The sequence below is a fragment of the Homo sapiens genome, chromosome 4 (genome assembly GCF_000001405.40).
Source record: "Homo sapiens chromosome 4, GRCh38.p14 Primary Assembly".
In the NCBI taxonomy this organism is placed as follows: Eukaryota; Metazoa; Chordata; class Mammalia; order Primates; family Hominidae; genus Homo; species Homo sapiens.
In genome coordinates, this window is record NC_000004.12 from 42,127,963 (window position 1) to 42,141,457 (window position 13,495).

The following is a 13,495-nucleotide window of genomic DNA, read 5'->3' on the forward strand; positions in this document are numbered from 1 at the left end:
GACTAGCCTCGGAAACACAGCAAGAACATATCTTTACAAAAAAATCAAACCATTAGCTGGGTGTGGTGACCTGTGCCTGTAATCCCAGCTACCCAGAATAAGCTGGGAGGATCACTTGAGTCCAGCATTTCAGGGCTGCAACAAGCCATGACTGTGCCACTGCACTCAAGCCTGGGCAACAAAGCAACACTCGCTCTCTAAAACAAACAAACAAAAAGACGCATATGAAAAAATTTTTATAATAAGAGTCATTCACGACAAATCCACAGCCAATATCATACTGAATGTGCAAAAGCTGGAAGCGTTCCCCTTGAAAACTGGCACGAAACAAGGATGTCCTCTCTCACCACTCCTATTCAACACAGTATTGAAAGTTCTGGGCCAGGCACAGTGGCTCACGCCTGTTATCCCAGCACTCTGGGAGCCCAAGGCAGGCCGATCACGAGGTCAGGAGATCAAGACCATCCTGGCTAACACGGTGAAACCCCGTTTCTATTAAAAAACACAAAAAATTAGCCGGGTGTGGTGGTGGGCGCCTGTAATCCCAGCTACTCAGGAGGCTGAGGCAGAAGAATGGCATGAACCCGGGAGGCGGAGCTTGCAGTGAGCCAAGATCGCACCACTGCACTCCAGCCTAGGCGACAGAGCAAGACTCCGTCTCAAAAAAACAGAAAAGAAAAAAAAGAAAGTTCTGGCCAGTGCCATTAAGCAAGAGAAAGAAATAATGGGTATTCAAGGCCGGGTGCGGTGGCTCATGCCCGTAATCCCAGCACTTTGGGATGAAACCCCGTCTCTACTAAAAATACAAACAAACAAACAAACAAACAGCCGGGCGTGGTGGTGGGCGCCTGTAGTCCCAGCTACTCGGGAGGCTGAGACAGGAAAACGGCGTGAACTCGGGAGGCGGAGCTTGCAGTGAGCCGAGACTGTGCCACCGCACTCCAGCTTGGGCGACTGAATGAGACTCCATCTCCCAAAAAAAAAGAAAAAGAAAGCTTATTCAAATAGGAAGAGAGGAAGCCAAACTGTCTCTGTTTGCAGATAACATGATCCTGTATCTAGAAAATCCCACTGTCTCAGCCCAAAAGCTTCTTAAGCTGATAAGAAACTTCAGCAAAGTCTCAGGACACAAAATCAATGTGCAAAAATCAAACAAGCATTCCTATACACCAATAACAGACAGCCAAATCATGAGTGAACTCCCATTCACAACTGCCACAAAGAGAATAAAATACCGAGGAAAACAACTAACAAGGGAAGTGAAGGACCTCTTCAAGGAGAACTACAAACCACTGCTTAAGAAAATCAGAGAGGACACAAACAAATGGAAAAACTATTCCATGCTCATGGATAGGAAGAATCAATATCATGAAAATGGCCATACTGCCCAAAGTGATTTACAGATTCAATACTATTCCCATTAACCTACCATTGACATTCTTCACAGAATTAGAAAAAACTACTTTCAAATTCTTATGGAACAAAAAAAAGAGCCCATATAGCCATGACAATCTAAGCAAAAAGAACACAACTGGAGGCTACAGTAGGCAAAACAGCATGCTACTGGTACAAAAACAGACACACAGACCAATGGAACAGAACAGAGAACTCAAATAAGACTGCACATCTACAACCATCTGATCTTCAAAAAACCTGACAAGAACAAGCAATGGGGAAAGAATAGGGAATCCTGGGAGAACTGGCTAGCCATATGCAGAAAACTGAAACTATACCCCTTCCTTATACCTTATACAAAAAGTAACTCAAGGTGGATTAAAGACTTAAATTAACTCAGAATGGATGAAAGACTTAAATGTAAAACCCAAAACTATGAAAATCCTACAAGAAAATCTAGGCAATACCATTCAGGACATAGGCACAAGCAAAGATTTCATGATGAAAATGTCAAAAGCAATTGCCACAAAAGCAAAAATTGACAGATAGGATCCAAGTAAAAGCTTCTGCACAGCAAAAGAAACTATTATCAGAGTCAACAAACAATCTACAGAATGGGAGAAAATTTCTGCAATCTATCCATCTGACAAAGGTCTAACATCCAGAATCTACAAGGAACTTAAACAAATTCATAAGAGAAAAACAAACAACCCCATTAAAAAGTGGGCAAAGGACATGAACAGACACTTCTCAAAAGAAGACATTTATGTGGCCAACAAACATATGAAAAAAAGTTCAACAACACTGATCATTAGAGAAATGCAAATCAAAACCACAATGAGGCTGGGCGCAGTGGTTCACGCCTGTAATCCCAGCACTTTGGGAGGCCGAGGCGGGCGGATCACAAGGTCAGGAGATCGAGACCATCCCAGCTAACACGGTGAAACCCCATCTCTACTAAAAATACAAAAAATTAGCCAGGCGTGGTGGCGGACACCTATGGTCCCAGCTACTCGGGAGGCTGAGGCAAGAAAATGGCATCAACCTGGGAGGCGGAGCTTGCAGTGAGCCGAGATCACGCCATTGCACTCCAGTCTGGGCGACAGAGCAAGAGTCCGTCTCAAAAAAAAAAAAAAAAAAAAATACCACAATGAGATACCATCTCATGATAATCAGAATGACAATTATTAAAAAGTCAAGAAACAACAGATGCTGGCGAGGCTGTGGAGAAACAGAAACGTTTTTACACTGTTGGTGGGAAAGCAAATTAGTTCAACCATTATGGAAGACAATCTGGCAACTCCTCAAAGACCTAGAACGAGAAATACCATTTGACCCAGCAATCCCATTACTGGGTATATACCCAAAGGAATATAAATCATTCTATTACAAAGATACATGCACGTGTATGTTCACTGCAGCACTATTCACAATAGCAAAGACATGGAATCAACCCAAATGCTCATCAGTGATAGACTGGATAAAGAAAATGTGGTGCACAAACACCATAGAATACTATGCAGCCACAAAAAGGAAACGAGAGATCATGGCCTTTGCAGGGACATGGATGAAGCTGGAAGCCATTATCCTCAGCAAACTAATGCAGGAACAGAAAACCAAACACTGCATGTTCTCACTCATAAGTGTGAGCTAAACAACGAGAATACGTGGACACATGGAGGGAAACAATACACACTGGGGCCTATTGGGGAGGGGGGGCAGTGGGTGAGAGCATCAGGGAAAACAGCTAATGCAGGCTGAGCTTATTGCGTAGGTGATGGGTTGACAGGTGCAGCAAACCACAACGGCACATGTTTACCTATGTAACAAACCTGCACATCCTGCACATGTATCCCGGAACTTAAAATATATAAAATAAAATAAATTTACATTAAGTCCCAAAATGTTTACAAGGCAGCATATAAAACTGTTCACCATGACCTTGACCATGTTAAATATAATTATATGCATAGAAAAGAGATAGGAAAGAATATAAGCCAAAGTGTTAACGATAATAGTTAACAATGATTACATTTTAATTGTGGGATTAGGGTAGTTAAGACCTTTTAAAAACTCAATTGTAAAAAGTGTTTACAGTGGGTATAATAGTTTTATACTAATTTAAAAGTTGTTTGAAAAATGTCTACATCACCGTTGTCTCCCCTTCCTTGCTATTACTTCAGTGTGGAGGGGACAGTCCTGGAAGGGCTTACAGGCTGGCTCTTTCTTTCTTTCCATGCACAACATTTAGGCAGCAGTGCTAAGCTATGACCCAAGCCGGTGGATGCACACAGGATGGAAGGAAATGCAGTGTTATGCATATTTACTGGCCACAGGTGGCTCTATTTAAGGCAAATGGGTCCTGTACATTGATACCTGGGCACAGGCTAAGGACCAGTAAGACTGAAGACAAGGCTCATATTTGGTCAATTGTTAAAAAAAAAAAAATAGCCAAAACTGCCCCAGGTGTTCTGAGTGCCTCCCTTCACCAAATGTCCTCCCATCCTCCCACTCCTGGTCCTACAAGGCAGGGACCTTGAAGCACCCCCAGCCAAGGCCTGCTGCAAAGGATTTGGAAAATCACTCTTGACTGGGGGCTCTCTGGATAGATGCCTAGATTTACACAGGGAAGCTGTGGAATCAAGTGAAATATTTTCTGTGAAAAAAAAAAGTCAATCTGGAAAACGGAGACAGGTGCGTCTAGAAAAGTGGGAGTGAAATTTATGATCCTGACCCACAGCTACACCACACTGCCTGCCCGGAGGTGCATGGGCACTGAAAAGGAAATTGTGGAAAACCTCCTGTCCTCGTGTCCCTCGGTTCTGTTAACCTAAGGTTCTGTGGGGGACTGTGGAGTTTCCGAGTGAGGACTGGCCTTCACGGGTGGGGTAAGCAGCCAGTGCTGCAGGTGTAGCTGTGTGGAGTCCAGGCCACCACACCACTCCCTTGGCCCCCAAGGGAAGAGAGAGTGAGTCTTGGCTTTCAGCAGCAAGAGGTCAGGGGATCGTTGAGGAGCTGCTGATGCCCCCAGAGGCCTTCACAGCCAACTGCCTCCTCGTGCAAATTAGAAATTTTTTATTTTATTATTTATTTATTTATTTATTGAGATGGAGTTTCAGTGCTGTTGCCAAAGCTGGAGTGCAATGGTGTGACCTCGGCTCACTGCAACCTCCGCCTCCCAGGTTCAAGAGATTCTCTTGCCTCAGCCTCCCAAGTAGCTGGGATTACAGGCGTCCGCCACCATGCCCCACTAATTTTTTCTATTTTCAGTAGAGAGGGAGTTTTACCATGTTGACCAGGGGGGTCTGGAACTCCTTACCTGAGTGATCCACCCGCCTCAGCCTCCCAAAGTGCTAGGATTACAGGTGTGAGCCACCGCACCCAGCCTAAATTAGGAATTTTAAACAAGTCACTCTCACGGTGAAACTACTACTTCAGACCCATTGGGCATGTTTTACTCATTCATTTGTCCATTCTACAGAACAAAGTCTGATGAATCTAGTAGGTGTAATGAGAAAATACATGAGGAACCAAAAATGAAACTTCTATTACAAGGAAGAATGGCTATAAAGGCAGCTAAAACGTACCTACTACCTATCCTGATATTGATATTTATAATTTTTTTCTCCTCTATGTAACAAAATCTCAAAATGCATCTTGTATAATCCTGGAAACAGTAAAATACTTAAGAGGAAGAAAGGAAATAAGGAAGGTCTTTTGTGTAAATAATACATGTAAAGCCAAAGGCACCCAATAATACTGCCTAGTGTAAACTATTGTCATTTTAAGATTGGTTGTCTATGAATTATCCACAGAGGCCACTTACATGATTCTGTTGACTGTGCCACCTTGGCAGCTGTACTGTCTAAGCAGCAATAGACAATATTGTCTAAGCAAAGTAAACATGGAGAGGGATGGGTTACAAATGTTCCACTGGGTATGCAGGATATCTAGATGGATGTCCTGCTCAAGAAAACGAAAGCCCCCAGGGATGTTATTTAAAGCCACACACATAGGGTCTTTAAGACATTCTATGGTAACACTAGTAGACACCAATTAACTGACAAAAAAGCCTTGGATATTAGTCCTAAAGTAACTCTTGGATACTATTATTTTTCAGTGTACTGACTCTGACACTTATTAACCATGTGATCCTGGGCAGGTTACTTAACCTCTCCCAGCCTCTATGATCTCACCTGTACAACTGGGAAAATGGGCGAGGCGCCGTGGCTCATGCCCGTAATCCCAGCACTTTGGGATGCTGAGGCGGGTAGATCACGTGGTCAGGAGATCGAGACCATCCTGGGCTAACATGGTGAAACCCCGTCTCTACTAAAAATACAAAAAATTAGCTGGGTGTGGTGGTGGGCGCCTGTAGTCCCAGCTACTTGGGAGGCTGAGGCAGGAGAATGGCATGACCCGGGAGGTGGAGCTTACAGTGAGCCGAGATAGTGCCACTGCACTCCAGCCTGGGCAACAGAGCGAGACTTCGTCTCAAAAAACAAACAAACAAACAAACTGGGAAAATGACCTACTGTATACAGTTATTGTGAGGATTACTTAAAATAATACATGTAAAGCAATGGGCATCCAATAAATATTGCCTATTGTAAGCTACTGTCATTTTAAGATTGGGAGTCTAGTGAATTCTTCATTGAGGCCACTTAATTGACTCTGTTGACTGTGCTGTCTTGTATGAGCAGCTGGTAAATAAGACTACTGAAATGGTCTTCGTAAATAGTTTTCCTTGGGGGAAACTGCTCAGATTCTGGTTTTGCCCATCTTAAGGGTGCTTGGGTCTCTAGTTCCTAATTTTCATTGCATTAAAATCTTGATGAGAGTTTCTCTCTTCACCCTTCAAGCACTACTTAATCTATCTTGCTATGTAGTTGTTTTCAAGGACTTAAAACATCTCAAAATACTCCACATACACTTTCATAGGGCAACTGAATTATTTACTGTCCTCTGATAACCATGGCCATGTGTGTGTTTAATCATCTTTACGTGCCCTATTCACATCATCTCTGTAAAGTATAAGCTCCTGAATTGTAAATATCTAGAAATAAACAATGAGCTTTAAGTATTAGCCTACAGATGCATTGTTATATTTTTGTTCATGTCAATATCCTCATTCCATTAATTCAATTCAATTGACATGCAGATGTTACAACATGCCTAACAGTGGGCTAGGAAAGAGGGGACACAAAGATGACTTTGCGTCTCTGTCCTCAAAGACCTCCATGGCCTCTCTTCATATCAGGACATCAGGAGACACAGACGCATATAGAGTAACAATTTCCCACGGTAACGATAACAGAATCTGCATGACGTGCTATGAAAAGTGCTTGCTTGCGAACTGTGGGAAGCATTTGTTACAGTGTCACCTGAGCTGGGTACTAAAGGATGAATAGGAGTTTCTCAAGTGGAGAGAAAAGGAGTATGTTCTTAGGTTGAAAGGAATAGCTGGAGTAAAGGAAGGCCAGAAGTATGGAAGTGTTTGACTGTTCAGGGATTCACAAACTGTCCAATGGGGTTGGAACACTTGGTGTCTGGTGGGCACTGAGGGCTCAGTCTCCAAAGACAGACAGGAAAAGATCCAGGAATTGAAGAACCTTGTGTGTCACACTGAGGATGCTAGAATTTACTCCATAGACTATTTGAAGCCCTTAGAGGCTCTTTGGCAGTGGGTGACCTGGGGCTGTTTGGGGGAGAGACCAGAGTCTGGTATGGGAGGGACTGGAGTCTGGGAGGGAAGCTTAGTGACTCTTGCAACAGCTCCAGTTATGAGATGAGCCTGGTTGACACCAGTGGAGAGAAAGCAGAGGTCCCACTGATGGGTGTGTAAGAGGTAGCACCCAGAAGAACGGAGGCTGATTGGGAGTCGGAAGGAGAGATGAGCTCTGGATGGATCTGAGGTCCCCTACCTGGCCAACTAATTGAATGGTGACACCTTTGTAAGGTAAGAATACCACTTATCATAAGGAAAACAACTTATGATTTCTGGAGCACTAGGCACAGAATAATTTCCTCTTTTTCTTAAAGTTTCCACTTATTGAGTGCTTACTGGAAGATCAGTAGGTATCCCAACCATGCCTTATTGTATTTGGTACTTTCAACATTCCTACAGTATTATGGCTGGGCGCAGTGGCTCACACCTGTAATCCCAGGACTTTGGGAGGCCGAGGCAGGCAGATCATGAGGTCAGGAGATCGAGACCATCCTGGCTAACACAGTGAAACCCCGTCTCTACTAAAAAAAATACAAAAAATTAGCCAGGCGTGGTGAGGGGCGCCTGTACCCCCAGCTACTTGGGAGGCTGAGGCAGGAGAATGGCATGAACCCGGGAGGCAGAGCTTGCAGTGAGCCGAGATTGTGCCACTGCACTCCAGCCTGGGCGACAGAGCAAGACTCCGTCTAAAAAAACCAACCAAACAAACATACAAAAAAAACATTCCTAGAGTATTATTAACCTCACTTTAGAGAAAGGGAAACAGATTTGGCATGATTAAAGCGATTTGGCAAAACAATCACAGATACCAAGTAGCAGGAGAAGAGATTCAAACACGGCTTTGACTCCGAATCCATTCTCTTTACCTTCTGTTGCTCTGTCTCCCTCAGTGTCACTGATAGTTGTAACCAAGAGCCATGATGATGTTCACCAAATTCTCAGTGAAAGAACTCAGTTCTTTATTCCTCTTTCCCTATCATTCGCTGTAATACTCAGAATGTATTAAGGTCTTTTCATCCACCTCAGAGCCCCCACTTTACATATGATCCGTGAGCTTCTCAGGATCAGAAACCGACCTAAGCATTTTCCCTCCCACAGGCCCTTGTGGGTATTTTCAAGTTTGGAGGTTGGTGAGGGCACTGGAGCATACTAGCACTCATCTACACTGCATCTACTCTAAGGGCGTTTTGTTCTTGCAAAATTCCTGTTATCCAAAAACTGACATGATTGATCATTTTAAAACCTTCTTAATTAGAAAATGTCAACAGTGGACTAACATGATCAGAACTGCAGAATCCAAGGTTAGTTCTCTAGTTTGTAGCCTCTGGAGTTGGTACAGTGGGTCCTCATCATTCATGGATTCGGTATTTGCAAATTTGCTTTACTTACCAAAATGTATTTGTAACCCCCAAATCAGAACTTGTGGTGCTTTTGCAGTCATTCACAGACATATGCAGAGCACTGAAATCCTGACATGCATACATTCCCAGCTGAAGCTTAACAACGGGATGCTTTGCATTCTTGTTTCAGCTCTCGTAACTGTAAACAAGTGTCCTCACCATGGTCTATTATTTAGTGCTACAGTTTTTGTATTTTTGTGACTTTTGTTGGTGATCTCACTGTTTCAAATGGCCCCAGTTGTAGCACTGAAGTGCTGTCTACTGTTCCTAAGTACAAGAAGACTGTGATGTGCCTTACAGAGAAAACAAGCATGTTAGATACGCCTCATTCGGGCATGAGTTATAGTGCTGTTACTCAACCAGCGTTAATTATTAAATAAGATCTCTTTAAATAAACATGCACATAAAACAAGTTATATATTGATCAGCTGATGAAACTGTTGTGAGCAGAGGCTCTTAGGAACCTAGCTCTGTATTTCCCCTAGGAGGAATGCTTTAATATTCTCTATGTGGTACTCACAGTGACTTTATAGAACATAACGATGGTGAATAATGAGAATCAGCTGTTTTGAGGGTGGCGAGGGGTAACAAACTAGATCTGGAGTCAGAGGCTTGGATTATAATCCTAAATTTCCAACTGACCTCACTGTCCAGGTCTCAACCTCCTTGTCTATAAAATAGGAATGATATTAATATTTGCTGTGGCCCCATGGAGTTATGAGGATAAAATGAGATAATAAAAAAATGCACTTTTTATAAAGTAGAGGGTCCTACAAAAATATTAACAATACTCTTCAACTAAGGGTGTGGGAAAACTGGATTTCTACATGCAAAAGAATGAAATTAGACCCTTGCCTTACAGCATACACAAAAATAAACTCAAAATGGATAAAAGACCCAAATACAAGACCAGAAACTATAAAAGTCCTGGAAGACAAAGAACACAGGGGAATGCTCCTGGACACTGGCCTTGGAAATAATTTTTTAGGTATCATAAAAGCTCACACCACAAAAGCAAAAACAAATAACTCAATGTAACAAATTTGTACTGTTCTTTAGATTAAGGATATTGAGTCGATTTTAGCAGCTCGTACTACAAGAACAACCACAAAATTTTCAGGCCACAAAAGCAAAAATTTTAAACATGGAACTGCATCACACTAAAAAGTCTCTGCATAGCAATCAACAAAATGAAACAGCAATCTATGGTCTGAAAAAAAAATTTTGCAAACCATGGGGTTAATATCTAAAGAACTCATACTCCTCCACAGTGGAAAAACAAATAACCCAATTACAAAATGCACAAAAGACCTGAATAGATACTTCTCCAAAGAATACCAACACGTATATAAAAATGTACTCAACATCATTAATCATCAGGGAAATGCAAATCAAAACCACTATAAGACACCACTTGACACCAGTTAGGATGGCTGTTGGCAAAAGATCAAAAGATAACAAGTGTTGGTGAGTGTATGGGAAAAAGGAAACCCTTGTACACCATTGGTGGGAATGTAGAATGGTACAGACATTATGGAAAACAGTATTGGAATTTTCCTAGAAAATTAAAAATATGACCCAGCAAAACTTCTCCTGGACATATACCCAAAGGAAATGAAATCAACATCTTGTAAAGATGTCTGCACTCCCACGTTCATTGCAGCATTATTCCCAATAGCCAAGACATGGAAACAACCTTGTCTGTCAACAGACAAGTGGATAAAGAAACTGTGGTATATTATTGGATAGAGTATTATCCTGACCTAAAAAAGAACAAGATTTTGCCACTGCCACAACTTGGGTGAGTCCGAAGGCCATTATGTTAAGCCAGACACAGAAAGAAAAATATTGTAAGATTTCACCTACATGTGGAACCTAAAATAAATTCAAATTCAAATATACAGAGCTAGAGAACAAAATAGTAGCTACAAGGGGTGGGGAGTGGGAGTGGAAACGGAGGGATATAGCTCAGAGGTTACGAAGTAGCACTATGTAGGATGAATAGGTCTAGAGATTCAACACAACATGAGGAATACACGTGACAAATTTGTACCGTACTTGAGATTAAGGCTATCGAACAGATTGTAGCAGCTCTTGCTACAAGAACAACAACAGAAAAATGTGTAACTATGTGAGATGATAGATACAGCTTCACTACAGTAACCTTTTAACTATATATCCTCTAACTTCATTTTGTATACTCAAACTTTACAAAACAAAGTTTATTTAAAATATCAACAATAAACAGATCCTCCCTATATTTGACACTTAGAAAATTTCAAGGTATTTTTAATGTGTTATAATTATTTTACTTTGGACTTTTCTTAGCAAAAATTACTATATTTTATGATTCTAAGACCCAGAGTTTTTCACATTTAGTATCTATGGACTTTGTGTTCAAAGATAATTATTATGTACAATTATGATTTCTTCTTAGTGGAACATAAAGATTGGTGTAGCTTACATCCACTGGCGTCTTAGATTAGATGAAATATGGTATTTTATATTTGCCCTCTTTTATGAGTTCTCCTTAGTGTTGACTAAGCTTCCTAAGTAAATGTGACTACTCTAAGCTGACACTCTGTCCAATGAGAAGTTCTATGCACTATTTTCCTTCTTTTAAAAACCTCTCATCCCTTCACATTCCTGATCCAAAAGTCTTCTGCTTTTGTGGTTTTTGCTTATAAAATTTCACTCTTTTCAAAAAATTTAACTTCTAAACAGACTTTCTAATTTTCTAGTGTGGTGATCTAATACAAAAGAAAATGTGCTAATGCTATTTCATTGGGATAAAATTTGAATTCCCTACACCTGCAACTGACTCTGAAAAGTTAGAGAGAATTTTCCAGAAGCCCCTGCCTTGCATGTAGCTGATCATCAAAAGACTGTGTTGGATATTTTATAAATAATACCGTAACACTGCCCCTCTCAGAGTAGTGCCAGAAATAGTGCCTGCCCACAACTTCTTTTTTTTTTTGGTATGGTCTTTCACCTTTTTCCTTGACAGGTGCCCAAGTGAAATCATTTTTTCTTGTAGACTGATAGGCTTGTTTATTTTTAACTCTCATTTCAAGAACTGCTCCCAGGTATAAAGGCTTTATTTCAGAAAAAAAAAAAAATCCTCAACAGCACTCCTCCGGAAAGGCAGACAAATGACCGAGGAACGCTACCTGGGCTCTGACCTGCAGTAGCTGACCCATCTCCTTTTCAACCTTATTTTCTGTGCTAACTGCTGAGCGTTGCGTTCTCCTTTGTATTCATCCATCCTGCTTGGCTGTAAAAAAGTGACTCCCACAACACAGGTAGATTCTACTAGAAGAAAGCCCCAGGTCCTTCCACAGAAATGTACTAGCCTCTAGAACGATGGGGTCCTGTTGAGACCACTGCTTAGGGAAAATCCATCCCAAATTATGTAGGAGGGTTACAGTATGACAAAACATTTTTATTCTATGCAAAACCAGTGTACCATGTACTGCACTTTTCTTCAAATGATAACAGATACCCCTCCACCCAAAATGCACAGCTAATCAAGTAAAAAGTGGATTCTTGGGTGTCACTCACAGGCTAGTTTATTGTTTAGGTAAAAATGGGCATTGAGAGGTAAGGGCAAGAGGGCAGTGACTTCTCCCTTTGATCAAGTTTTCATCTCCCAGTGACACTTTAACCTGTTTTCCAATATTAAGGTGTCCCTAGGTCATGAACACATGGTAAGTAATCACAAATAAGCTAATATTTTCCTTTGATCAAGTTTTCATCTCCAAGTGACACTTTAACCTGTTTTCCAATATTAAGGTGTCCCTAGGTCATGAACACGTAATAAGTAATCACAAATAAGCTAATATTTTCTTCATTGTATACTATTTTTACAATGCATAATTAATAAACTGGCTTTTCATCCATATTGTTGGATGTATTTCTTAACATAATCATGGTTATCCATGTGAAATGGTTGCTGGTTCAAGTTCGGGGACGGGATTGTCAACAGGGTTGAATGTTTACAGTAATAGGACTGATGATTAGCCTAATTTCAACCAGTGTCAATTCAATGTTTGATCATCAAGAAGGCTCAAGAAATGGCAGCATCTCCAACTTTCTGGGAAGTACAAAAGACAATGATTAGTGGCAAGCCAACACTGAGTTAACTCCTACCACAGGAACCTGACCTGCTATGGGTTCGGTAAGTGAGAGGCGGACTGAACCCCAAGTTTGCTTAGGGCACATCAAGGACATACAGCTTGCCAAATATTTAGGATCAGGAATTAGACAATAATACTTGGGACATTTGTGTCACCTGTCCTTGCACTCTGAAACTCTTTCCCAAGATGAGATCAAGGAGTGCCACTAAGCACTTCAGAAGCTAGGAAGGCTCCTTTGGTTATGGTTCTGAGTGGCTGATGAAAGTCTCTGTAGCTGGATGATCTCTACGACACGATTTTCTGCCCCAGCTAAAGAGGGCAGTGGGGGTGACAACAGAAATACCCCTATGAGATAAACCCACAGTGAACTAAGCACTGGTTACACAGCTGTGAGACTTGTAAAATCCCACAGTGTGCTAGCTGCAACCATGTCTCGGACTTGGGGAAACCAGGAATGATCTGGTTCCATTACATTCTTCTGGGTTCTACCCAGTGTCTGTCTTGCAGTCGGTGCCTGCCTGGCGTGGGAAAACACTACTCGTCTGCATCTAACCCCAGGGCTCCAATGTAAAAGGAGAAAACGGATTTGCTGCACCTCTTACTTCCTCCCCTCCACAGGACAATTGCACTTAATCTAATTCCAAAATGTTCTGAACCAAGCCTCAGCTCTATTTGGAGAATTATTTTAAATGATAAACCTTCTTTTTGTTTCCTTGGTCTACTAATAAACAAGTGGGTAGCTTTCTTTAACATTTCCTTCTTTCTAGATCAGCTGCCAAATTGAGTGATACAAAGATACTGTACTAGGCAAAGAATATAGCTTATATTGGCCGGGT

The 13,495-nt window shown here is 41.5% G+C and overlaps 1 protein-coding gene across 3 annotated transcripts in view, besides 1 other annotated feature; it reads right to left on the reverse strand.

Moving 5' to 3' along the window:
- Nucleotides 1–13,495, reverse strand: part of BEND4 (BEN domain containing 4) — a 41,803-nt gene that overhangs the window by 17,110 nt on the left and 11,198 nt on the right. The gene's annotated exons all lie outside the window — the stretch shown is intronic.
- Nucleotides 8,347–8,882: an enhancer, noted in NCBI's record as "OCT4-NANOG hESC enhancer chr4:42138326-42138861 (GRCh37/hg19 assembly coordinates)". NCBI's record gives its function as "activates a minimal SCP1, AML or CMV promoter by ChIP-STARR-seq in naive H9 embryonic stem cells {active_cell/tissue: H9 hESC(naive)}" and the evidence as "EXISTENCE:reporter gene assay evidence [ECO:0000049][PMID:30033119]".